This window comes from Homo sapiens, chromosome 5, assembly GCF_000001405.40.
Source record: "Homo sapiens chromosome 5, GRCh38.p14 Primary Assembly".
NCBI lineage: Eukaryota > Metazoa > Chordata > Mammalia > Primates > Hominidae > Homo > Homo sapiens.
The window spans coordinates 93791485-93817443 of record NC_000005.10 but is presented as its reverse complement, the minus strand read 5'-3'; the positions used below and the strand labels follow the sequence as shown (position 1 = coordinate 93817443).

Genomic DNA, 25959 nt, shown 5'->3' with positions numbered 1-25959 from the left:
GCAGAGATTTGTATTGGGATTGATTAAATAGGTTAATTTGGGGAGTGTTGCCATCTTGACAATCTTAAGTCTTCTAATCCGTGACAATGGGCTTTCTTTCCGTTTATTTAGGTCTTCTTTCAAAAATGCTTTGTTGTTTTCAGTGTACAAGTCTTAAGCTTCTCCTCTTAAATTTATTTCTAAGTATTTGATTATTTTTGAAGCTATTCTAACTGAAATTGTTTATTTTATTTTCATATTCAGTACTAGTAGATAGAGACATGATTTATTTTTATATGTTAGTCTTGTATTTTGCAACCTTGCTGAATTCACTATTTTTAGTTCTAATCAGTGTGTGTGTGTGTGTGTGTGTGTGTTTGTGTGTATTCCTTAGGAGTTTTCATATTCAAGATCATATCATTCGTGAATACAGATAGTTTTACTTCTTCCTTTTCAATCTGGATGCATGTTTATCTAATTAATTTATATATTTTTGTTTTTTTGCCAAATTCCCCTGGCTAGAACCTCTAGTACAAGGTTGAATAAAGGTGGCTAGCATGGACATCCTTGTCTTGTTCCTGATCTTAAGAGGAAATTGTTCGGTATTTCATCATTAAGTATGATATTAGTTGTGATTGTTTTCATTCCTGATAGGTTATTTCCCTTAAGAACCTAGTGTGCTCCTTAATGTTTATATCCTTTTATATCCTTCATGCACACCAAGATTCTATTGTTTGGAAGGCTGCTGAAGTGGAGAAAAATTTCACTAATCTTTAATAAGGATCTTTTTGTAGAATAAAGGACCCATATTACTCCATTGGAATTACCTTTGGAACAGGTTTTTCTTAGTGTCCACATAGTAGATGAGCTGCATTCAGGTCCTACTGCCTTCCCTGCATTGTTTGTAGCTGAGAGATTGGTCACTCTGTCTCCTGATTCCACAAAGACTGCTAGGAAACCAAGGATTGCCTGGCAAAATTAGCACAATAACAAGTTAAGGGGAACTCAAAGGAATTGACATATTAATTTGTTAAATATAAATCATTACATAAGAAATATTTCTTTTTTCCATTGGTATTATAAAAGATCTTAATGATAGATTTTGTATTTTACTGCAAATATGAGACTATGATTGACTATTGTAAGCCTTTTATAAGAAGGAATGTAGAAAAACACATTTCAGTTGATAATAGGGCTGTTTTTAGTGTTCTTGTAACCTTAAAATGATCATTCATTGTAAGCCCTCTCCCAAATAAAATTCCCAGGCACAGTGCACCTCAGACATCTCAAATTGGAAAGGACTTCTAGGGGACAAAAAGAATTCACAATCAAAGCTATTTAACTTTTAAAAGTTAGGATCCAATCGTTATTAAATAATTTATTCAAGTTAACTCAGAGGAGCCAGGTGGATTTAGACTCAAAGCATACTTGATCTTTGTTAAGGGAAGGCTTGAGAGAACAAGAGTGGAAGCCAGATTTGAGTAAAGATCTTATTACTAGAGTTCAGGATAGTTTCAGGAGGAGCTACTTCAGCTGTAGAGGTTGGCTTTAGAGGGAATAGAAGGTGAGCTCTCACCAGGGAGTTATATCAGAGTATGGTAAGCTCAGGTTTGAATCAGGAAGTACAATCTGGTTGTGGGGAACAGAAAATCAAGGCAATGGGTAATGACCGAGCAAACAAAATCTAGTAATTGGTTTTAAGAGTGCCTATTTTCCTTCACCATATCCCACCTCACTCCTTTATAGGAAATGAAGGAGAAAAAATAAACAGGATCCAGTACCAGGGGGAGGATTCACAAGGTAAAAGGTTTAAGGCTTCACTCATTGCCTGGGAGTTTCAAAATGGGATCTTTCTCAGGGAAAGAAATAAGCTATTATCATAGGCGTAAAAATCAGAAGGATTGTGAACAAATCAAGGCAGAAGTCTGATTATGTGGCTTAGATTAGAATGGAATAAGTAGAATACTGCATTCTGAGGACATGTAAGATACTCTGGACTGGTCTTTGGTACCCTGGTTATCTGGTTTCTATGGCAATAAAGGAAATGGAGAGGAAGGACTATCATTTTTCCTTCTCTTATGGCCAAATGTTCACTATGGGTCTAACACCTTCTTTGGTCTCAGAGTAACAAAGTGATACTCTTCTAGGTCTCTGTAATTTTAACTTTCAGAGTTGGAGATTTTTAACCCCTACATGTATATCAATTGTTCTCACTTCATATTTTCTGTTACAGGTTTTTAACACTTCTATTGAATGAATTTAGCTTACAATAAAGCCACCAGAACCACAAAAGTTTGACTTTGTGGATTGAAAGTGTTTCTTGGCTGGACCTTGAGGCTCATGCCTGTAATCCCAATTCTTTGGGAGGCTGAGGCAGGAGGATTGCTTGAGGCCAGGAGTTTGAGACCACCCAGGGCAACATAGGAAGACCTCGTTTGTACAAAAATTTTTTTAAAAAAATTAGCCAGGCATGGTGGCACATGCCTGTAGTCCCAGCTATTCGGGAGGCTGAGGCAGGAGGATTGCATGAACCCAGGAGTTTGAAACTGCAGTGAGCTATGATCACACCACCACACTCCAGCCTGGGCAACACAGCAAGACTGTCTCCAAAAACAAGCAAACCAAAAAAGTGTTTTCTTGGAGTTAAGACTGAATATTACGCCCTCAAGGCAAGAAATGTTTCCAAAAATTGTTATTAAAGATAATTACTGATTCAGTTGAACATACCCACTCCATACAAGTACTGGGGAAACATTAGAACACATGGTCTCTGGCCTCAAGAAGGTTTTAGTCTAAATAGGAAACATTTTTAAACAAAGAGAATAATATAGGGGATATTTGTGAAGTGGGATAATAGCGAAGAGGTCATTATGTTAAGGTCCACAGTATAAAGATCCATACAGTAAATTTGTCTTAGAGGTAAGTACTAGGAAAAACCATTTGTATAGATGAACTGATATGTTCTTTTTGTTAGAAAATAATAGCTATGTAATACATTTTTGCCTTTATCTCCCAGAAACCCAGAGCTATGGTTAGTTTTCCATTTCAGTAATTTATTCTCAGCCTCAGTCTCCTATTCATTATCCTAATACATAGTTATCTTTTGCTTGATGCAACCTTAGAATTCTTTTTTTAACTGGTAGAAAATAAATAACAAATGTATTATTTTCATGGGTTTATGCCATGCTGCCTAGCCTGGCTGGACATACAATGAGTATATACTCAAGAAATAGTTGTTGATTGTAGATTTATTTATAAATGAATTATCAGGACCAGATCTCAAATGGTGCTATGTTGGGTCCAAATGAAGAAAGTAAGGCCTGAGCCACAAGATAGAGAAAAAAGATGGACAAGAGAACAAAATTGATCATTTAAGTTGAAAAACAGGGACATCAAGAGTCAGTCTCACTGAGTGCACAGAAGGTACAGTCTGTGGCCCTGAAATTTTGAACACTTAGAAGCGCTGTTAATGGAAATTGATTAGGAATTCAACTGAGAAGATACTGAAATCTCTAATCAAAGAAACTAGCAGAACCTTATTTGAACCCCAAATTTCAGTTATGTTTTCTGTGATTAAGTTAGGCTTAAGTTAAGGTAAGGCTCATACCCTCTAGAAATTAGTTTGCTTATTTAAGTATTTATTCATTATCTTGGTCATTTTGGGCTCCTATAACAAAAATATTATAGAGTATGTGGCTTATACAACAAACATTTGTTCTCACAGTTCAGGAGGCTAGGAAACCCAAAATAAAAGTACCAGCAGATCCAGGCTCTAGTGAGGGCATACTTCCTGTCTTGTAGACAGTTGCCTTCCCACAGTCCCATCTTCTTTCCCTGTAGGTCAAACTGACAGTTTTCCTGCTGGGATATTTGATTAAGTTTGTGGTTCACGCCATGCTAATCTCCTTATCAAATGTTTGTTCAGCCACATCCTTAGTGCTCTCTTCAGAACATCCTTTCTCTTTTGTTCAATATGGATAGGCTGAGAATTTCCAAAATCTATAAGCTCTCTATCCTTTTTTCTTAATAATTTCTTGCTCATTTCTCTCTTCTTACATTTTCACTATAAGCAATCAAGAGGAACAAGCTGCTCCTCTAACACTTTACTTAGAAATCTCCTCAGCTAAATATTCAATTTTATTGTCACAAGTTCTACCTTCTAGAAAACACTAGAACACACAATTCAGCCAAGTTCTTTGCCACTTTATCTCAAGGATTACCTTTTCTCCATTGTCCGGTAACATGTTTCTCATTTTCATCTGAGACCTCATCAGAATTGACTTTAAGGTACATATGTCTACCAATGATATAACAAAAATGCCATAGACAGGTGGCTTAAACAACATTTATTTCTCTGAGTTCTGGAGACTGAGAAGTCCTAAATAAGGGTGTTAACATGGTTGGGATTCATTGAGGGCCTTCTTGGTTTGCCTATAGCCATGTTCTCATTGTGTCCTCACATGGCAGAAAGAGTGAGAGAAAGCTCTAGTCTCTTCCTCTTCTTATAAGGACACTAACCCCATCTTGGGGGCTCCATCCTCATGGCCTCTTCTAAATCTAATTACCTCCTAAGATTAGTGTATTCAGATTTCTTCTTAGTTTTTCCATACCTTATATGAATTTTTCTCATGAAGAAGCTTGTTAAAGAGCATTAGAATACAAATAAAAATTGCTATTCAATATTTTAGTGACAATTTTATAATCGAGTCAGATGATTTAAATGGATATGTAGGCACAAATAGGCATATTAAACTTCTAATATTTGTGCCTAAATAGGCATATTAAACTTCTAATATGCCTATTTGTGCCTAAATTTCCAGAAGTCTCAATATCTAACTTCTATTTTCTCCAAATTTCCATACTGCATTCACCAGACAACTGCATTAGAAGAAAAACTTTATATTTATCTTTCTGTGCCGGGCAGAAAGATAAAACACACTCAACTTTCTCCTACCGTAGAAATCCCCAGTCTTGACTCCTTTCCAGTTGGGATTCTTTATAAGTATAAATGTTGATTTTCTAAAGGTTTCTAGTAGCCTGTCTGCCGACAACAAAGAAAACTTGACTTTCTCCATCAAATGATGCCCTGTAAATTGTGAAAATAAAATAATGTGAGATCAGTGGCCTATATATTACCATTGTGTTACTGCTCAGTTTATCTCAGGAAAAAAATCCTGTTCCAATTATCATTGATAGTGTAATGAAAGTTTCTACCACTGTTCTAGGCTCAGCCTCAAATTTTCAGGTTTGCTTCCTATTACACATTGTAGGGCATCTATCCAAATATTAAACATATTTATATTATGTCTACATATTAAATATGTAGTAATATATTAGATATCTTTAGTATATTGTAAACTTTAACATCTGGTAGCATGTGTGTTTACTCTAAGATCTCACAGTAGATTCTCAGAACAGATACCTTCATATCCAATTACTGTGTTAAGAGTTCTGCCTCACTCTCATAGAATTCTGTCATTGCTATCAGTATGAATACATGTAATCTGTCAGCCAGCCATGATGGCCTAAGACATGACTGGGTCAAGAACAGTTCTAAAAAATTCATAGTAGTGTCTTTAAGGATAAACTTTTAAAATAGAACTAGGATTTATGAGTCTCTTGCGAATCAGAAGGCAGTGGCATCATCCTTATGCTGATCATCAGCATCTCTCATGCTTAAATGATAATGCACCGGGCACTATCCTAAGCAATTTGTATACTTTATCTCATTTAATCCTCATAACACTTTTATGAGATACTGTTATCCCCATTTTACAGATGAGAAACATGAAATATATATTTTTCCCGTTAAAAGTATGACCTCACTTTGTAACAGTTAGGTTTTTGTTTTCCTTCTCATCAAGTACCTGTGAAAAATAAATAAATAGTGTATTGTACTAATTGTAGTGACTTTTAACCCTCAGACAACGTCCCGGTTTTTCACGTATTTCAGGGTTCAATTCTACATTTCTCTGTTGAGTTATATGATGATTTAGTTTTTATTCTCTCTTTATTGCTTATTCTTTTTGTGCCTTCCAACTAAGGCTTTCAATTTTAATCGATTTTTCATTACTCAAACTAGTGAAGGGGAAATAAGGTGTGGAAAATGTAAAATTAGACAGTCTCCAAATCATTTATATTTAAATTTTGAATATGTTTTGATGTGGTGCTCTGGAAATTTAGTTTAAGCAGGAAAATTGAAAACACTTGATGAGGATCTGGAAAGTAGATGAGTTTCGTTGGCCAAACCCCTGGTTGGCTCTTTTTTGTGGCTCATTCCATGCTTCAAAGAGACAGCGGTCTTCTAATACCAACTAAATCGAATTGACCTTTTATATCTCGCTGGAACAGTCTCTGCTATCAGCATTTGCTCCTTCATATTATCCATATCCATAAGTTACACCTGGAAGTAATAGCTATGTAGAATAGCACCTACCAAGTACCAGGCGTTGTTTTAAGTGCTTTACAAATATTAACTCATGTAGCCCTTATAACAACCCTGTGATGTAACTACATTATTATCCTCAGTTTACATATGAGGAAACTAACCTCAGTTGCATATGAGGAAACTAACCCACAGAAATATTAAGTAACTTACCTAAGATCACACAACTAGCTAGTGAGGGAGCCAGAATTGAAACCCAGGCTTTCTGGCTCCAAAGTCCATGCTCATAACCACCATGCTATACTGTCACTCAAAAAAAAGAGCACTAGATTAGGCAGGATTCTTGTACATTTGGTCATTAAATATTATTTATGCCAGGTACAGTGGCTCATGCCTTTAATCCCAGCTCTTTGGGAGGCTGAGGTGAAAGGATCAGTTCAGCCCAGGAGTTCAAGACCAGCCAGCCCCGAAAACATAGTAAGACCCCATCTCTACAAAAAATTTTTTTAAATAGCTGGATATTATGATGCATGCCTGTAGTCTCAGCTACTCAAGAAGCTGAGGTGGGAGGATTGCTTGAGCCTAGGAGCTCAAGGATACAGTGAGCCGTGGTTGGACCACTGTACTCTATCCTGGATGACAGAGCCAGACCCTGTCTCCAAAAGCAAAACAAAACCAAACCATTATTTAGCAAGGCATTGTACAACCTAAGTTTAACTCTATCAGGTAGGTATGATGAGCCTTGTTTGACAGATAGAAAGATTGAGGAATCTATGGAAGGTTGCACAAAGGACACAATTAGTCCAAGTCAGCCTAGTCTCAGAACCAGTCAATTTACCCATGACACACACTTCATTCTAATTGGGTTTAAAAAAAAAAAAAAACGAAACCTACACAACGAAAATTTGTAATAAATTTAGGATATTTTTAATTGGTGAAGGAACTCTTCATTTAAAGAAATTTTGCCTTTTTATTTGTAAAGCACAAAATTCTTTGGCAGGCTAAACAACATACCTGATACCTACCTTTTAAATTGAAAATGTGCTTTTAAAAGCAAGAAGCACACATTGTACAATTGATCTCAAAAAATACAGAATTTCATTACTCAATGCTTATCACAATGTCAGTACATATCAAATATTAGACGATAATATTCTAAAATTGTTTTTCTTTTATTTTGTCCCATATATTGGAGAAAATATAATGATTTAAATATTTTAACAAGACGTGAAACCATAGTTGCTTGGTCTTTTGTATTTTACTTACTGTAAATTAGAGTTTACATTTCACTGTGAATACCAGACAACTCAAAATTCCTATATTTGAAATTAAAATAGGAAAAAGGGAAACATTTGAGTCCCTATAATTAACCTGCTACTTCATGCCTTTCTGATTTATTATAAGCACTTCATCTGATACCTAATACTTGAAAAGCTATAAAAGAGTATTATATTACTTTGATTTTTTTTATCTCTATGCTTTCCCCACATAAAATAGTAAAGTTTTTTTAAAGCTTTGAGTCTAAGAGGATCAAATGAATGACGTGTTTAGTTATGCCTTAGGGAAAAAATCTTACTAGGTTAAACTGAAACTTAAAATCTTACCAATGTAGAAAGCACTAGAAATGTTACAAATAAAAAGTGAGCTTTGTTTATCCTACATAGTTTCTTTTTAAAAATATTTTATTTATTTTTCAATCTTTTAGGTTCAGGGGTACATGTGCAGGTTTGTTACATGGGTAAACTGCATGTCATTGGAGTTTGGTGTACAAATGATTTTGTCACCCAGATAGTGAGCATAGTACCGATATATCGTGCATAGTTTCATATTCCTTTCCACTAGTTAAATAAATCAGTGTTTTAAGATGTCTACATCCTTTTAATGGCTAAGTAAACTGCTTCAAATAGTGAACTGTACAGTAGAGGACTGATTTTCATATTTTATGTAGTGTTTTGCCAAGGAATATCCCATACACCAATAGCTAAAAGAAGAATCATGTAATTTATTTTTAATATTAGAAATATTTGCTACATACCTGATTGAAAGTACATCTACAGCTAAATTTTCAAATTTAAAATTCCAGAATAGAAGACAATTAAAGTAAATGTACTAATAGATATTTACAGTTTTCTTATTTGCTTGGTAGTATCTATATTATAGTTGCTGGCATAATTCCTGTTTAAAATATTTTGATTTTTTAACTTATAAAAGGCTCTTTAAATCATGAAATTCCTAAGAAACAGCTGGTTTTAATAAAAACAAAAAATAAAAATATTTAGAGAAAAATTTTACACTCAGTTATTTATTATTCCCTTGAAGGCCTGATAATGGAGCATTTTTGATACAGCCTTATAAATTACCTGACTTGCCTTCAAGACCCTTTGACAGGGATAGAGAGCTTTGTATACTAACTTTGTGTACTAACTAGGTCTTAAGGTTATTATACATTCTAATCAGGTTTTTAAGAGATTCATGGAGATACAAACATTAACTTTAAAAGAAAAACTGTTCCTGTATCAATACATTAAACACTATAGAGAATAATCTTTGGTGATAGGGTGAGTTTTTAATGAATGATGACCATAATTTTACATTTTGAATGATTTCTCCCATAACATTTTTATTTTTTTCTTTGTTCAAAAACTACCTGGGATTGTATGTGGGTTTTTTTTTTTTTTAGATTATTTCCTGTTCTCGAATACAAACATACTTAAAACTTAACCTTCTGAAATGTCAGCAAAATTCAGCTATGCCAAGAAATTTAAGAAATCAGAATTTTATTTGCACAGTCTTAAAAGTAATGCTGAGTATTTCTCTTGTGATATTTTCTTCCATTTTGCTGCACTCCAGATCCCAGGAAGAGTTTTTAACTAGCTATTAAAAATAACCCATTTTAAGAATTCGCGGGCAGTATGAGATATTCATCAGTATATATTTACTGTCTGAAGCCGATATAGCCGTAAGGTTTTTTATATCCAATTGATCTATTGCGCATGTTCCCTCCCTAGGTTGCAGGACGTGCTTCTATTTGCATAAGGCCCTGGGCAAGGTTTTTTCTTGCATTGATTGGCCTGTCCAAGGCAGCCTGATGTGTTCTTGCATTGATCACTTTGTCTTTTCTTGGAAGACAGTGTTACACTGAGTTCATCTCAAACATTCTAGGGAGAAGGTAAAACTTTACTGCAGATGTCTCAATTTTATTCAGATGTTTCTTTTGAGTATAGGCCCTTTTTGCAAGGATAAGTATTGCTTTTTTTTCCCCCTAATTTGGATGTTTCTGCAGTTTGAGTGCACTGAAGACTAGATTATATTTGAAAAAGCTACGTTAAAGAAAATTGCTAGAGTATATGCCAGTTATCTTGTACTATTTTTGTTTTTAAAACAGTGTATCTTGCTTCCAGCTTGAAACCATTTTCTTTAAAGATGATCTCTTAAACGTAGATGTAAACTAAAATTTACTGGTGTTTGCAATAGGTTACCACTTGTCTTTACTAACTTTATATACATTATAGATTCCTTAGTTTCAGTGGGACATGCATTGCTTTATGTGTTTAAGAAAATGAGGAGTTTGATTAGTTTCACTATGAAACAGTGGTCCAGGATGATTTTCCTGGTGCTATTCATTATTATAAGTAATACTAATATGAATAGTACAAATTTGTCAAATATGGAAATGATTAAGCAGCTATATATCAATTATAGGTGAAATATATTTCGTACCATAAAATAGTAGTCTGTTACTTGGTGACAATGGAAATCTGAACTTGAGCATTTTTCAACCAAATCTGTGGGAAATTGAGCAATGAATGTTTTACAGCTTAGCACTCTTTATTGGCTGGTCCTTAAATCAACATTTATATGATCTGCCAAAAAACATATTTGCCTACACAGCTAATTATCAAGAAAATGCCCATTACCTCCAACCTATTAGCTATGCATTTAGTGAGGAACTGGTAAGACAAATGTAGGATTCTGTCAAGATGTAGGACAATATCCTCCTCCAGACCAGTTTTCTGTTTCATCAAAGCCTATGTGAATTTACAAAAAGGTTACTTTTGGCAAAGATTTAGAAATGTGTCATGGCTGAATTTGATTATTGTGTGGTTGTAATTAAATTCTGCTACCATAATTCATAATGGTTTTAGAAAGCATATTTAGTAACACCTACTACAAATCAGGACATTTTTGTGTATACTGTTTTTTAACAGGTCACTATTTCTGAATATTGTTAAAGTGTAGAAGTTAAATTTTACAGAAAAACATGACATCAGTGATTTCACTCAGTGGTATCACTGGTGTCACTCTATATCATAAGCCATAGAAATCTCTTTCTACTTTAATAATTCTGTTTTGTAAAATTTGATACTAAAATGTTAGAGATCATATTTCTTTTGTTTACTTTGGAAATTCTGGAATTCATACTTTAAAAACTCTGGAGCGAATTAAATGTTTATTATACAAGAGCAATAACCTCAAGTGGTTAGATAATGTCATTTGCTGTTTTAAGGTGTCCTGTAAAAGTTTCAGCAATATATAGCTATATAATGAAGTATATACCTGAGTTGTGTGTAATTTATCTAGCCAGTGTTTATAAATAGAGTTACTATTCATGTAAATAACATATATGAGGAAATATGATCTTATATTGAAAAATTAGATTTGTGAGTGATCTAAACTTAGAATGTCTAAAATTGTTAATAGTATATAAATCATAAAAATATGAAAAAATTATAAAAGCTGTAACTGTTTTCTGGAGATTTAGTATATGTTTGGTAGTTTAGGGAGAAAATTATGAAAATACCAATGAAAAAGGCATATAAAAGTATTAAGATGGAAAACCTCTTCAAGTACTTAAGAACAGCTCTTCAAAACTAAATCCAATCTGTGTAAACACAGATATTACGTTGCAACTTTTTTCAGTGCCTCTCAACTTGGTGCAAGTGTAGCTCTCTGAATTGGAATTGTATAGTGTTTGTACATTTTTTCCAGCTGAAATGGAATGTACATCATCTTGCATAATTTACTTGTCTCTGGTGGTTAAATTTGCGTATCTGAATGACTGAATATATATCTTAAGCTTCTACTAGATATAAAATAATCTCATGAGTGGAGGAGAGCTCTTTTACCTCAGAAATCAGAAGAGTCTATATATTTCACAGCAACTCATGATCAAACAAGCTAATTCAGATGCTGGGAAGTGCTTTCGCTTAGCTATGTGGAAGAACCATTGACTGTATACAACCAACAAGTGTATGGTGCAACAGGAGATCCATTGAAAACCGTTTATAGGACTGAACGACAACCCCAAATGCAAGTGACCATGAGCAACTACAAATAGGTATACATATGCATTTGAGCTGAACAGACTTTCTGACATATAATTTAGTCAAAATTGCTGTATTTCTTCCCCTTAAATTTATACATAATCAGCTTCTTGTATGGACCCAAATTGGAGAAATGTAATTCAGTAGTTGGTGAGAAATAAAGGATTGTGACCTCTGTGTAATTATCAGGAAGGATGCTGTATGATGCCTGCTGTTTTATTACTGCTCAGGTCATACTCAGGACCTTACACTGGAAGAACACCTTCTCCAGACTCTTCTGTGCAGGGGAATGGTGATCTGAGTCTGAAGTATGTTCACCGTGCTTACACTCTAAACATTTCTGGGGAAACGGGGGTTTTGCTGTGAGGTACTGGGAAACATGAAAAAGGTAAAATAGCTGGTAAAAACTTGTTCAGTGAAATCCTTTGCTTTTTCCTTTATATAGTGAAGGAGCAAGGAATTGCCAAAAAGCTTTCAAGCTAATGGATTTTCAAATATAGGAATAGTAATTTTTAAATCATAGAAGAAAGGATTCAGTGATTTCAACCCCGTTCTCATTATTTCCCTTTAACAAAGCATCATATATTTAGATTGGTGATTTCTAGAAGTTACCATGTTTGTATTATAACATATTTGAATCTGAGAATTTCTAATAACACCATGGTAACTTTGTAGTGAAAATCATTAATCATTAATTATATATTAAAATGCATCCCCTCATAAAATCTCTAAAGATGTATTTTTTTCTGTTTGACTACTGAAATAAAATTTGATATCTCACCACCTAGGACATGCTTGTAAATTTTTTGCCACTCTGTATGATATTATTATATATCTCTGGTTACTTAAACTTAAGTTTTAATTGTAACTTTGATTTTTAACTTGCAGTATATGTACAAATTTCAAATTTTTCAAAATAATCAAAAAATTAAACATAAAAAGATTACTAAAGATATACTTTGTTTTAGGCAAAAGCATTTCTTTTCTGAGGAATAAAACAGATATATTAAAAAGTATATAATTTCTGAATAAAAAAAATCTACTAGCTGTCTCTTACTCTTCCTCAATCCCTGCCCCAAGGTAATATAAATGAACAATATATATATTGGCTAATAAGCAAGCATTAACTCCCACTGGTAAATATGAGCAGTTCTTAATGTTAATTAAAATCAGTAGCTAAAGAAATTATATCAGAAGACTAATATTTCCTTTATGCTGTATTTTTTCTTTACAACTTTTAATAATATTGAATTATTATTGAAAGTATAATACAGTTATATCATCTTAACGAAAATGTTTTTGGTATAATAAGAGTCTATTAAAAATGCATTATGCTCAATTATTTGGTATGTATGTATGCTTGCTTAAGTATATGGAAACTCTTAGTGAATAATCCTTGCAGATATGATATGCATGAACAGTTGTTTACTTATTAGATACTCAGATGAATATACATATGTTAAGGAAATATCTTTCTTTGAAGTTATTTATCTTTTATATTCTTTTTCTGCCTTTAAGCATTTTATGAGAATCCTGTCATTTGTGTCTGTTAAGAACACATACGCAAAACAAAATTTGTATTTGAACACTTTAATGTAGGCTTTAGAAAGTTAAAGCTAAAAGCTCACATTTTAAAATTTATCTTTGTATGGTGTCTGTGTACATATATTTCCAAACTCTTTGAGATGTTCTAGAAAGGAATCAAATGTATTTATGGGTATGTTCATGCTGGTAATAGAGTACATGGGTTACAAACCTTTTCCATTTCTTTTGACCTTGTAGGAATAATAACAGCTCTGAATCACTATTTCTCTCCGGCTGTGTACAAACCTAGCTCCACTGTCTTCATAATCCTAACCCAGCATCTCTTTCATGCAACAGGCATGGACCTGCTTACCTTTCCCGTTTTCTACAAAAAGAAAAACCTGACCAGGGACGTTTATTCATACATTCCCCAAATCAACACATAGAAATATTTTGGGTTAAGTCTAAAAAATTCTTATGTCCAAAAATGGAAGCTTTTCTCTTTTTTTTTTTTTTTTAACTTTTAAGTTCAGGAATACATATGCAGGTTTTTTATGTAGGTAAACTTGTGTATGAGGGTTTGTTATACAGATGATTTCATCACAAGGTCTTAAGCCTAGTACCCATTTGTTATTTTTCCTGATCCTCTCCCTCCTCCCACCCTCCACCCTCCACCCTCCAATAGGCCCCAGTATGTGTTGTTCCCCTCTATGTGTTCATGTGTTCTCATCTTACATCTTAGCCTTTAGAATTTATCCCTCTTTTTGGGTGGGGGGGCGGTGAGGGAGGAGAGGGAATTGAAGTAGGAGAGTTCTAGGGTGGGTTTAGAAATCTCACATCACTTTATGCCTATATTAATAACAAATAACCACCAAGTAGTCTATTGTTGAATTAAAGATGAAAGCTGTAGTATCCATGAAAACAAAAATTTGTAAAAGACATGAAAGAACATAACAACTTTATATGTATAATGTTTTTGTCTGTTGAAGAGCTGCAGAAAATTACTTGATGTTTAGTGCCAGCTGCAGTAGCATGCTAAACTGCACATGTTCCACCAAGGAAAAAACAAGTCCTCATTCCTCGTGGATAGGCACACAAATTTGACTTTTCACTATCACCTATCTAAGCAGGCACCTGTTATTACTCATGTGGTATAATACTCCATTTCCATTGGAGATTTTTGTGAGAAGTAACTCATAATTGTTAATGCAACAAAATGTGTGTCCATACAATTAGCATGAATGTAAATATGTCCATCTACATTTTATTTCCTTCTGGATGTTAGCGAAATACTGTTATATGTAAGAAGGGGGTTTTTGTTGTTGCTGCTGTTCTTTAATTCTTAAAGATTTTAGTAGTCTTGCCATCATTATGCTTCTTTAAAAACTCAATAGTAAGCATTTTAGAACTTTTTCTAAATTTGAATAGTTGAAGTTTCAGCTTCTGTTTTAACCAGAATTTATTGTAAATGGCCAAAATACCTATCTACTGCTAAACATCATTCTGGAATTCTGTTTATGCCTGCTAAACTATTGCATTTGCATCTTCATCCTTTTAAAGATGGAGCAACTTAAATGCACATAGCAATCTTTTTATAAAAGCATAATTATGTCTTGTGCTTTTTAAAATGAAAAACTAGTCCTATATGCATTATTGGTTTATGTGAAAAAGTAATTCACAAATGGACTTCTGTATAAATACATGTTTTAAATAGCCTTGAATTTTTCTTGCCTTGTACTTTTTATGTAAATAAAATTAAGCAATTGTTTATCGTATTAATTTGCTTTTTATTAGATGCTTATTTGATACATACATACCCAGTCCTCCTGGCTTTTTGGTTTTTCCTGTTTATCATTTTTATTTGTATGGATGTTTTCTTTTTCATTGTGATTTCTTTTTTGCCCCCATTTATGTGTCATCTATGACAAAAATTGCTGTTAATAAATAAGTGACAGTATTTCACAAAACAAGAAACTGACTTTACCTGTTTGGCACATATATCACTCTCTAGATACCTAATTTGTCTTTTAAAAATAACTTAAATTTTCTTATAAGATTTATCAGAGAAAATATATCTTGACTTAAATTTTATAAAATATATTTAGTGTTTTTTAATATTTGAATTTTGTGTTGCATTTTTTTCCAAAGAGAGGATGTATATTTATTTGTTCTTCAGATTTAGGATTCAATATTCAGAATATGCATGGTAAAAGTTATAGCATTTTCAAAATCAGTCTCTAATACAGGCTAAATATACTAATTTCCTAATAACAATAAAAACAGAAAATGTCTAAAAATTCTTTACTGGTTGAATTATAATTTTGGTTGTATTTGAAAACCTTCAGACTTCGTTCTGGCCATTCCACTTTAGCCATTCAGGCCATGCTGCCTGTATTGTGTATTCAGCAGTTCCTATTAGATGTCTTCACAGTGAGTGATTCTGTAGGGCTTGCTGACACCCGCTTCATGCATGGCCTGCTGTGCTGGGTGGAATTTTTTTTCTGAGCTGCCTGAAACATTAAAGACATCTTGGCCATGTCAGTCTGTGTACAGTGTGTGTGCATGTGCCCTCACATGTGCACATTCCTGAGCAAGTCAGTATTAAATAAATGATGTGGGTGTGCTTTTATATACATGTAAAGTCTAAAATTTGAATAATGATGAATTTATCATGTATTAAAACATATATTTTTAATAATTTAGTTCAGCTAACATTAGCAACTTTTCTCTAGCTTTTATTGTCTGTGGTTATTGACACTAGGGGGCACTGCTTATCCTTGGTTGCATCTTTCTTCAGGAAATGAATAAAAATACTCGGCTGGTTTCTGTGCTCTCACTTTAATTAACAATTGAATTTAGAGAACTCTAGGCTGTTTGATCCTTTGTTATTTTGGTTTTATTTCTAATGCCTATATGTAGTGCTAACAAAGGGGGTTGGAGCTATTGGTTCTCACAAATAAATAGAGTATCCAGTGTCCCATACAGTAACTTTTTCTTCCATTGGAAATGTCATTCTTGGCAAAACCAGAAGGGCAAGTTTGCCCAGTGATGAGGCTTAGATCCCTTGCCAGCTGTGCTTCTAGCCAGCAAGTGTGATGAACAGCTTTAGAAATCAAGTGAGAGAAAGCATTCAAGAGTTAGTGTGATTCATTTGGATAAAGGTCAAAAGAAAGATAAGCAAAGGATTAAGAATGAAGAGCACAAATAGCAACAATTTGTACCTTTTTACTTATAAAAATTACTGTCAGTGATCCTATTTGTAATTTTTCACATGTTCGTAGTTCAAAAGTAACTTAAAGTCTTTTAAAACTATATTAAAGATTGCATTTCATTCTCTATTTCAGCTGATCATTTAAAAATGAAAGAGAAAAATTGATGTGCTACCATTCCTAACTCTATTTATAGATTAGAGCTGTGGCTACTAGTTGAAAATCAAGTGACAACATAATTAAGTAAACATTTTCAATCGATAATTATAGCTTGAAATCTTTTTAAAATATAAAGATTTGCTCCATTTATTTTTTAGAATTTTAGTGTCCATTCTAAGCCTAAATATTCATGTTTCAATCTATAGCACCACCTGTAATCTCTAAGGACATTAATAACATTTTTGTTTTAATACGCACTTTTAAAATAAAACTCCCTCCTCTCCCGTCTTGTCCCCCATCTTCCAAATGTAGAAAGCAATCAGTAGCCTAAGGAATATAGACAACTATTTTACACTGTTCTCCTAATTAATTAAACATGCCAGAACTGGTAAAATTTTATATCCTTCTCCTCTAGAGTTATAGCTGTATCTTTGTGTGCGTGTGTGTGTGTGTGTGTGTGTGTGTGTGTGTGTGTGTGTGTGAAAATATGCAGTTAAATCATGCCCTATTTTTATTAGCTAAAGGTATTGATTTTTAACATGAGTAATTTAAATAAAGTATTCTTGCAGATTTTAAAGTTTTCATAGCATATGTTTTACATCCTGAATGAAAAGAAACAAAAAAGATTACCACTATAGTCAAGCTTGGTCTAAACACCAGTAAAATAACTGAATATAAACACATGGGCAGTTTTAAATAAAATTTTTAAATACCTTTGCTTTGTAGCACATTAAATTGATTTCTCCTATATAGGTACTTCAATTAGAAATTATTTAAAATTTTTCAAAGAGAAATAGATATGTGCATTATCCTAGGTTGATTTTTTCTGTTCGCATTTTTCAAAGTGATTTTTTGATAGTGCTTATTGAATAACATATACTTTTGAATATATTTTTAGTGACTAGTTTTAAATAATTACCTGGAAAAAATATATCCCAAGATAATATACAGTTCGGGGGAAATGCTGTTATTTTTCATGCTGGTATTTTTTTCTAATTATTTCTATATAACATCATAAAAACATTAGCCAATTTAGGTTCATCTCAGATCTTTAGTAATAGATCTGTGACTTACTAATAATAGATACTACCTAGTTAGACCTTATCAGTTCATAAACAAAACAGTGATTAATCAATATGGGGCAGCTTTTGTTATATTCAACGCTTTATAATTTGAAATGTTAGTTTCCTGGTACTAACCATGTACAAGCAATCAGATGCCAGCCCATTTATAATAGGTTTTTCTCCTCCTAGCAGGATGTTGCTTTTGGCTATAAAAAGTTAATTTCAGATCCTGATATACTTGCATTAATTTTTGAAACATTGGCTAGGTGTAGTACAGCAAAGAATAACATGAACATCACACCACTGTGCTGTAGCTAATCGTTTATTACCTCAAGCCAGAGAAGCAGTGTTAATGTGAAGGCTATAGTATGTCTATAGAAAAGATGGAAACTGACAGAAAGGGTCTTAGAGACAGCTTCGTAAGAGTCTTGAAAGAGGACCATAACAAGGAGAGGGGGAAAGAAAACAACAGCAACACTATCTAAAGGGATATATTTTGATACTTACAGTTCTGGATATCTTTGTAATTTTTATGATTGAAATAAATTATTATCTTGAATAACAGACCCCATTCTCTATCCAAACATCTTTGCTTCAGAATGGGAAAGCTCATTGCAATGTTATCTTTTCAGGACCATAAGTGTTCTCTAAAAAACATATGACTGAGATGTTCATCAGCTGGGATGTTTGTTGTAATTCACCAATAAATTTGAATAATTTGACATAATTTCTGACAAAGATGAATGTTTCCACCTTCATTTCCATAGTAAGGCAGTATCTACATGAAGAAACCAGTTTGACTGAGTTGACCTGCCAAATTGATCAGAAAAAGAATAAAACAACAGCCATTCAGTCCATGGAATTAAAGCAGTTTATGTGTACAAACCACCTTGGTGGCCTGTCAACCCAAGACTTACATAAAAGTAAATCACTTTGGAGCCTGTAGTATTACAAGGAAGGAAAGTGCTAGGACATACCATCAAGGAACTAAGGCATATGTGCTCTTAGGTAGTGCACTGTAGCATAGAGTGAAGGAGAGGCATTATCAGTTGTGGAACTTGGAGTCTGATACTGGTGTTATCCCATGTCACACTAGAGGTGACACCTAAGTCACTTTATCTGTTTTCTCATCCATACAAAAAGCAATTGGATTGGATAATTTCTAACATTCTTGACAATTTTTCATTCTTTTCTTCTATGTGATGGTACAGGTGGAGCCATGCCATTATTACAAATAATATTTAAATGGTTTCAGTAAACCATGATGTTACTTATAAATTCACTTTTATATAAAAGGCCATAGGAGATATAATTGCCCTGTATTTATAACTATTAGAATGTAAATCTTAAGGCAGTAGAGTCTAACCCACCCACTCCCAGACTGAATAAAAAGTGGCATCAATTACCTTCTAGAAACATTTAATTGAATTACTGGAAAATTCAGCAGTGAGTTTATTGTCCTTTTTTGTTTGAGGAGAAAGGGGACTAATAGATCATAGTATGTGCTGGTGGTTGTGTGGGAAGAGACAGACTTAGGGAAGCCTTGCTTTTCCTGACAACTTAGTGACAGAAAGTAGTATGGTAGATTTCATCATGACACCCACAATAAGGAGTGGCAGGTTGGGTTCTTATGGAAGTGGGTAAGGAATCAGAACTATGGAAACTCAACATTTGTTCCTCATTCCTATGCATAGTCTTCTTTTGTGCTCTGACTGTGGTAGTATCTCCTTTTATTATACTTCTGATTACAATAAACGTTCCCCTCAAGGAGTCCCTTTTATTCTTTTTCAATCTAGATTTCTTCTTTTGACTTCTCTCAAATGTCATTCACTCTCCTCCCTTCAGACACATTGATGTTTTGTTGATATTTAACCGCCATCCTTTCATACATATATGCCTAAAAGAACAATATAGAAGCTATCTAGCAATTTATCACTTCCCTTGTACTGTACGTCTTCAGTAAAATTTTTCTGAAAACACCTCTCTTGTTCTCCCATTTCTGTGCCATGTCTATTTCACTTATAATCACATTAGATAAAACCTGTGTGTAATTCTGTTTTGTATATTGCCTTTTATATTATTAACACTCAGTAAAATAGTTTAAGAATTGCAGTCTGTAGTACTGTCAGTCTGTCACCTTTCAGGCACTACTTTAAAATTCTGAAAATGTAAATGAAGTAATTAACCTGATATGAAACAGTGATACATAATTGACTTTCTAAATTAGTGAACTACTGACTCTTTTATATATTTGCCATTTTATAGAATTTCATATTGGCTACTTAACAAAAGGTGTGATGTAACAAAAATTCTGCCTCCTACCATAATAAATACTGATGCTTATTAAACACTCTGTACTGTGCTTCCTAAGTATATTTATTTTAGAATTTTGCTGTTTGAATTATTTCATACTCATGAAATTGAGGCAATACTTAATGATAATAGAATAGAGACTCTGAATCATTGACTCAACTGATGGAATGTCCTCCAAAGAAGTGCTAAGGAATAGACACATGAAAGAAAATGGAATTTTTTAAAGTAGCCTAGAGAATAATTCACCTTCACTCACACATAAACGCTTCCTCAGTGTAAATTTTTCAGTGCTCTCATGCATCAGAGCTGTCAGATGTCTAAATGACGGGTTTCAGAGTTTTCCTCTTCCTGTTAGTGATCTGAAGTGCTACTCCAGTATTTTCCATTAGGGTGGATATTGATAGAGGAAACTTGTTGTATAGTGGACTGTTTATGGTTCACTAGTATATCAACTCAGAAGTGCTCTTTTGTTACATGTAGTGTATATACATGTTCTCTATCTGTGAAAGGAAGATGCAGCCATATACATAGAGGTAAGTAGCTACTTTAAATTCAATCCTGTCTTTTCTTCCACCCAATGTTTATATGGTTTTGTGCAGTAAGTGCAATCCCCAAAAGTCCTATCTCAAATAAACCTTTCAAACCATTTATTTCTGCAGACTTTCATTATTTCAGAAATGTGAGATGTGCCTTCATAAGAAAAATGTTTCCAGCATGTAATCCAAGTCGGATTTTAAAATCCCAACTTAAAGAATTGTCCCACATTTGTTGGTTGGGAAGTGTTCATTTAAACAGCCCTTAAAAGTTAGTTGAATAGAAGTTTCTTCAAGCAACAGTATTCACTTGCAGGGAACAGAAGTTTCAGGTATTTAGCATAAGTTCCTAGGTAGAAGAGCCATCTGGAGATCCTCGTTCAAATATTTTCAAACAATATAGAAGGCCTGTGACTTATACTTATTATAATGATGTCACTTTCTCATTTACAGATGGGTGTCAACCTCTCCCAGTATCTGGCAGCTGTAATAACCCACAGTTGATTAACACATCCTGTCTTAAGAACATTTAAATGGTTTTTATTGAGCTGGTCAAGAACCACCCCCCACCATATAGGCCAATCACATTAGTGCTATACCATTTCAGCTTCATAAACCTGAGCTTACATTGAAGAAATGTGATCAAATGAAGATTACCCTGAATTTCTAGAGGCAAAAATTTAGAAACATTTGAGGGCATAAAACAACTAAGATTGGAAAAGAATCAAAATCTCAAATGTCTTTAGTCCCCAAATTTATATCGCACAGTCTTTATTTTCTTTGTATCATAGGGAATAAAGGCTGAGATTTGAAAAGCCGTCTTGTTACTTTTACAGTGAAACCTCTCTGTCCATACTTATCCTTCCTTCCCCTACCAACACCATCAGGTTTCAGCGTATTACGCCAGATGCTAAGTAGTGATGATTGCATACTTTATTTGAAGTTTGGGTTATTTTAAACTTAGATGCATTTAGTTTTGAAATCACAGGTATAACTTGCTTTATCTGACATATACATTTCATTTGAAATTCAGAAAATCCAATCATTCCCCATGGATTTATAGGATGATTTTTGAAATTTGTGATTTTGATTTTTTTTTTTTTTTGCTTTTCAATAGTCTTCTGAAAGCAGACCTCACATTCTTTTAGCTCTGTGTTTTTCTCTTCATAATCCAACATTTAGTGGGTTAATATGGTGTCAGTGTGTAAGAGGTCTGAAATCTAAGATCTAAGAAAAACCTACTTGATCTCTTAGCTATTAGTGAGTCAAATCATGATGTGATCTTGAGTACATGAATAAGACAATGGAGTGTTAGCAGGTTGGAAGGAAAATTTAGATTTGAATGTAGAGGATTAAGATGGCAGATGGGGGCAGGACTAGTATGCAGCTCCCACTTGGATGGACAGAGCAGTGTGTGGAGGCTCACATCATGAATGTATGCTCCAAGAACTACCACAGGAACATACCAAGAAAGCCAAGAGAATCCACAGACCCTCTGAAGGAACTGGATCACTGCTGCAGGCTCCCTGAGATGCTGAAAAACTGTGAGTCTGCGTGCCTTCTCAACAAAAAGGCTCATGGTCTGGGTCAAGTTCTCAGCCCTGGTCACCGGCTGCCTAGAAATAGACTCGGTGCTGTTGTGGGGCATGGTGGGAGTGAGACTGGCCTTTAGGACTGTGGGCCGCATGGGAGCGGGGTGAGGCCTGTGACTGCCAGCTTTCCCCCACTTTCCTGGCAACCTGCATGACTCAGCAGAGGTGAACACAATCCCCCTGGGAATATTCCTTCACTGGACTGGTAAACACAGCCCCACCCCCCATAGCAGCTGCAGCCAGCCTGCCAGAGGAGAGACTGAGCTCAGACACACCTATCCCTACCCCCACCTTGTGGTCCTTCTCTACTCACCCTGGTAGCCAAAGACAAAGGTCATAATCTCTTGGGAGCTCTATGGCCCTGCCCACCGCCTGAGTAACCTGAATACTTAACCAGGTGTCCCTAGGACAAGTTTAGATCCTGCCTATAGAACCACAGCTGATGTGCTCTTGAAAGTGCCACCTCATGACTGGAGACCAATCAACACAAAACCAGCACACAAAACACAACCAAGGACCCTCACAGAGTCCACTTCACTCCCTTGCTACCTCCACCAGACTAGGTGCTGGTATCCATAGCTGCAAGACCTGAAGATGGATCACATCACAGGACTCTTTGGAGACACTCCCAGTACCAACCAGAGCCCAGTAGCTCTGCTGGGTGTCTAGACCCAGAAGAGCAAAAACAACTACAGTGCAGCTCTCAGGAAGCCCCATTCTTAGGGGAAGCGGGAGAACACCACATCAAGGGAGCACCCTGTGGGACAAAAGAATCTGAATGGCAGCCCTTGAATCCCAGATTTGGACATAGTCTATCCAAATGAGAAGCAACTGGAAAAACATCTCTGGTAATATGACAAAACACGGTTCTTTAACACCCCCAAGAGATCATACCAGCTCACCAGCAATGGATCCAAACCAAGATGAAATCTCTGAATTACCAGAAAAAGAATTCAGAAAGTCAATTATTAAGCTAATCAAGGAGGCACCAGAGAAAGGTGAAGTTCAATTTTAAAAAATCAAACACATGATATAGGATATGAAAGGAAAGTTCTTCAGTGAAATAGATAATATAAATTAAAAACAGTTACAACTTCTGGAAATCAAGGACACACTTAGAGAAGTGCAAAATGCACTGGAAAGTCTCAGCAATGGAATCAAACAAGCAGAAGAAAGAACTTCAGAGCTTGAAGACAAGGCTTTCGAATTAACTCAGTGTGTCAAAGACAGATTTGAAAGTAGGGTAAACAAATGCTATAATTTCTGTTATGGCCTGTGGTAGACACTGTGATGCACTACTCAGTTGCACCTTCAATAAAGGACTTAACTGCCTCAGCCCTTGGGAGTGCTCTCAGCAGACATCCTTCAGCTGTCAGTCCCATCAGAGATTGCCTCAGCCACTTTGGTGCCCATACTCAAAGAACAGTGTGGTAGATTAAAGGCCAAGCCATCTAGACCCAACTTGGAACAACTCTGAAGGGCCATTTTGGGTTCTGAGCTCCCCAGGGGTTATGCAAGTCTGTAATGGGACCTGCATGTCACCTTAATTTCTCTCTCTGTTCATTCTTGCCTCATTCCCCTCCCTTCTTCAGATGTTGATTGTAACGACACACCTTAATATCCTGCATGCTAAACGTTGTCTTAGAGTCTTTCCTAGGGAACCAACCTGTGATGTAAGTCATTTCTAAATACATGAAACCAGACATTACTCTAGCTTCCTAACCATTACCTTCCCTGATCCATTTCTGTAAATAGCACTTTCATCAGTCCACAAATAATTTTTGAGCACCTGTTATTTGCCAGTCATTGTGCAGGGAATGAGAATGTGGTGTTAACAAATATGGATTTGCCCTCATGGAGGCTACATGAGGGCAAACAAATCCTTACTGGTTTTATAAGTATTTCAGAAGAAAAAAATACAGGATATTATGTACAAATAGCCATGGTACAAAGACGGGATCTGGAGTTAAAAGATGTAGGCTGCCTGCAGTGACTCACACTTGTAATCCCAGGGCTTTAGGAGGCCAAGATGGGAGGATTGCCTGAGGCCAGGAGTTCAAGACAAGCCTGGGCAACATAGTAAGCCCTTGTTTCTACCAAAAAAAAAAAAAAAAAAAAAAAATTAGCCAGAAGTGTTGGTGTACGCCTGTAGTTGTAACCATTCAGTAGGTTGAGGCGAGAGGTTCACTTGAGCCCAGGAGTTTAAAGTTACAGTAAGCTGTGATCCTACCACTGCACTTCAGCTTGGGTGACAGAGCAAGACCCTGTCTCTTAAAAATAAAAATAAAAAAATCTAGCTATGCCACCACTAATTATGTGAATGTGGTATGCGTGGGTCACTTACTCTCTAGGCATCAGTTTCCTCATCCATAAAACTGGTACATAATCCCTCAGCTACCAACCTGTGTACTTAAAAAGGAATTGTTCTATCTAATGAGATAATCTATATATAAATACTCAGAATATGAAGGGTCTCTGTGGAATGTATCTTTTTTTTATTTTTTTATTATTATTATACTTTAAGTTTTAGGGTACAGGTGCACAATGTGCAGGTTAGTTACATATGTATACATGTGCCATGCTGGTGTGCTGCACCCATTAACTTGTCATTTAGCATTAGGTATATCTCCTAATGCTATCCCTCCCCCTCCCCCCACCCCACAACAGTCCCCAGAGTGTGATGTTCCCCTTCCTGTGTCCATGTTTTCTCATTGTTCAATTCCCATCTATGAGTGAGAACATGCGTGTTTGGTTTTTTGGTTTTGGTGTTTGGTTTTTTGTTCTTGCGATAGTTCACTGAGAATGATGATTTCCAATTTCATCCATGTCCCTACAAAGGGAATGTATCTTAACCTGCCTTCTTTCCTAAAATATGAGTTCTACCCAGAGGTCAGAAATCATGCCTTCCTCTGCTTTATAGTTATAATCTATTACCTAGAATTTTTTTCATAAAGTTTTGGTAAATTTTCTCACTTTTCTATCTAAGACTGTGTCACCATTTCAATGTCTTCTTCGCTGAGCCTGCCTTAGTTTTTTGGTTTGACAATGTTTAGTCCTAACTTACACTTTTATACTGTATCTACTTCACATATATTCATTGTAATTTTCAAATCTGTGTTTTATAATATCTTGCCTACTCTGGTCAGTCATATTACATAATAAAATGTTTTAATCAAACAAGTCAACATGATGATCACTTATACTATTTTCTTATTATGCAAGTGACCCCTTTTACTTTTTCCTTACAATTAACTTGTCTCTTATATAATAGATACTAGCTGTTTTCTTGATTGGTAAAGCAAGTTTTTCAAACAGTCGCCTTCCCCTCCCCACCCCCAACCACATCACGTATTTTGTAGAGCATGTGTCTTCTTTCTCAACTCCCAGATTGTCAATCACTTAATGTTTGCTTTTTTTTTTCCTTTTCTTTTTCTTTTAAACCTATCTTACACATGCTTTTTTTGTTGTTGAGGGAGCTTGCACGTGGCAGCATGGTCTAGGCAGGAAAGGAAAAGGAAGTTATTACTGCTCTCTTCTGGCCGCCTGCAATAATAAATCATAACTTGCCTTTCCCTAACTGGTGGCTGGAGACTTGTCTTCATAAACGCATGTGACCCAAGAAGTTTCAGTTTACATACCCTATCCCTTGGTGTTCTTGCCTATGGAGAGCCTTTTCCTTCCTGAAATTAAACAAAGATTGCAAGAATTGAAGCTAGGGCTTCAAAGCACAGGAAAAGAGAATGTTGTCTTATCCTGTTGCTACAGTGGAGATCCAGCTGGCCATGTTTACCTAACCAGGGTGTGAGACTGCTTGTCCATCTGTGAGGGGCTCAGCACAGTGCTAAGGCTTGCTCTTAAATTTTGAACTTAGAAACCT

At 35.0% G+C, this 25959-nt stretch overlaps 1 protein-coding gene across 32 annotated transcripts in view; it reads left to right on the top strand.

Moving 5' to 3' along the window:
• Nucleotides 1–25959, top strand: part of ARB2A (ARB2 cotranscriptional regulator A) — a 493975-nt gene that overhangs the window by 294256 nt on the left and 173760 nt on the right. For 3 of the 32 annotated variants that reach the window (XM_047417819.1, XM_017009961.3, XM_005272109.6), the window contains one exon: nt 11524–11880. The exons of the other annotated variants lie outside the window; for them this stretch is intronic. In XM_047417819.1, the coding sequence (XP_047273775.1) occupies nt 11524–11595 (72 nt within the window). In that variant the 3' untranslated portion in view covers nt 11596–11880. Of the gene's footprint in view, nt 1–11523; nt 11881–25959 lie in introns of those variants that run through there. 32 annotated transcript variants of the gene reach the window in all.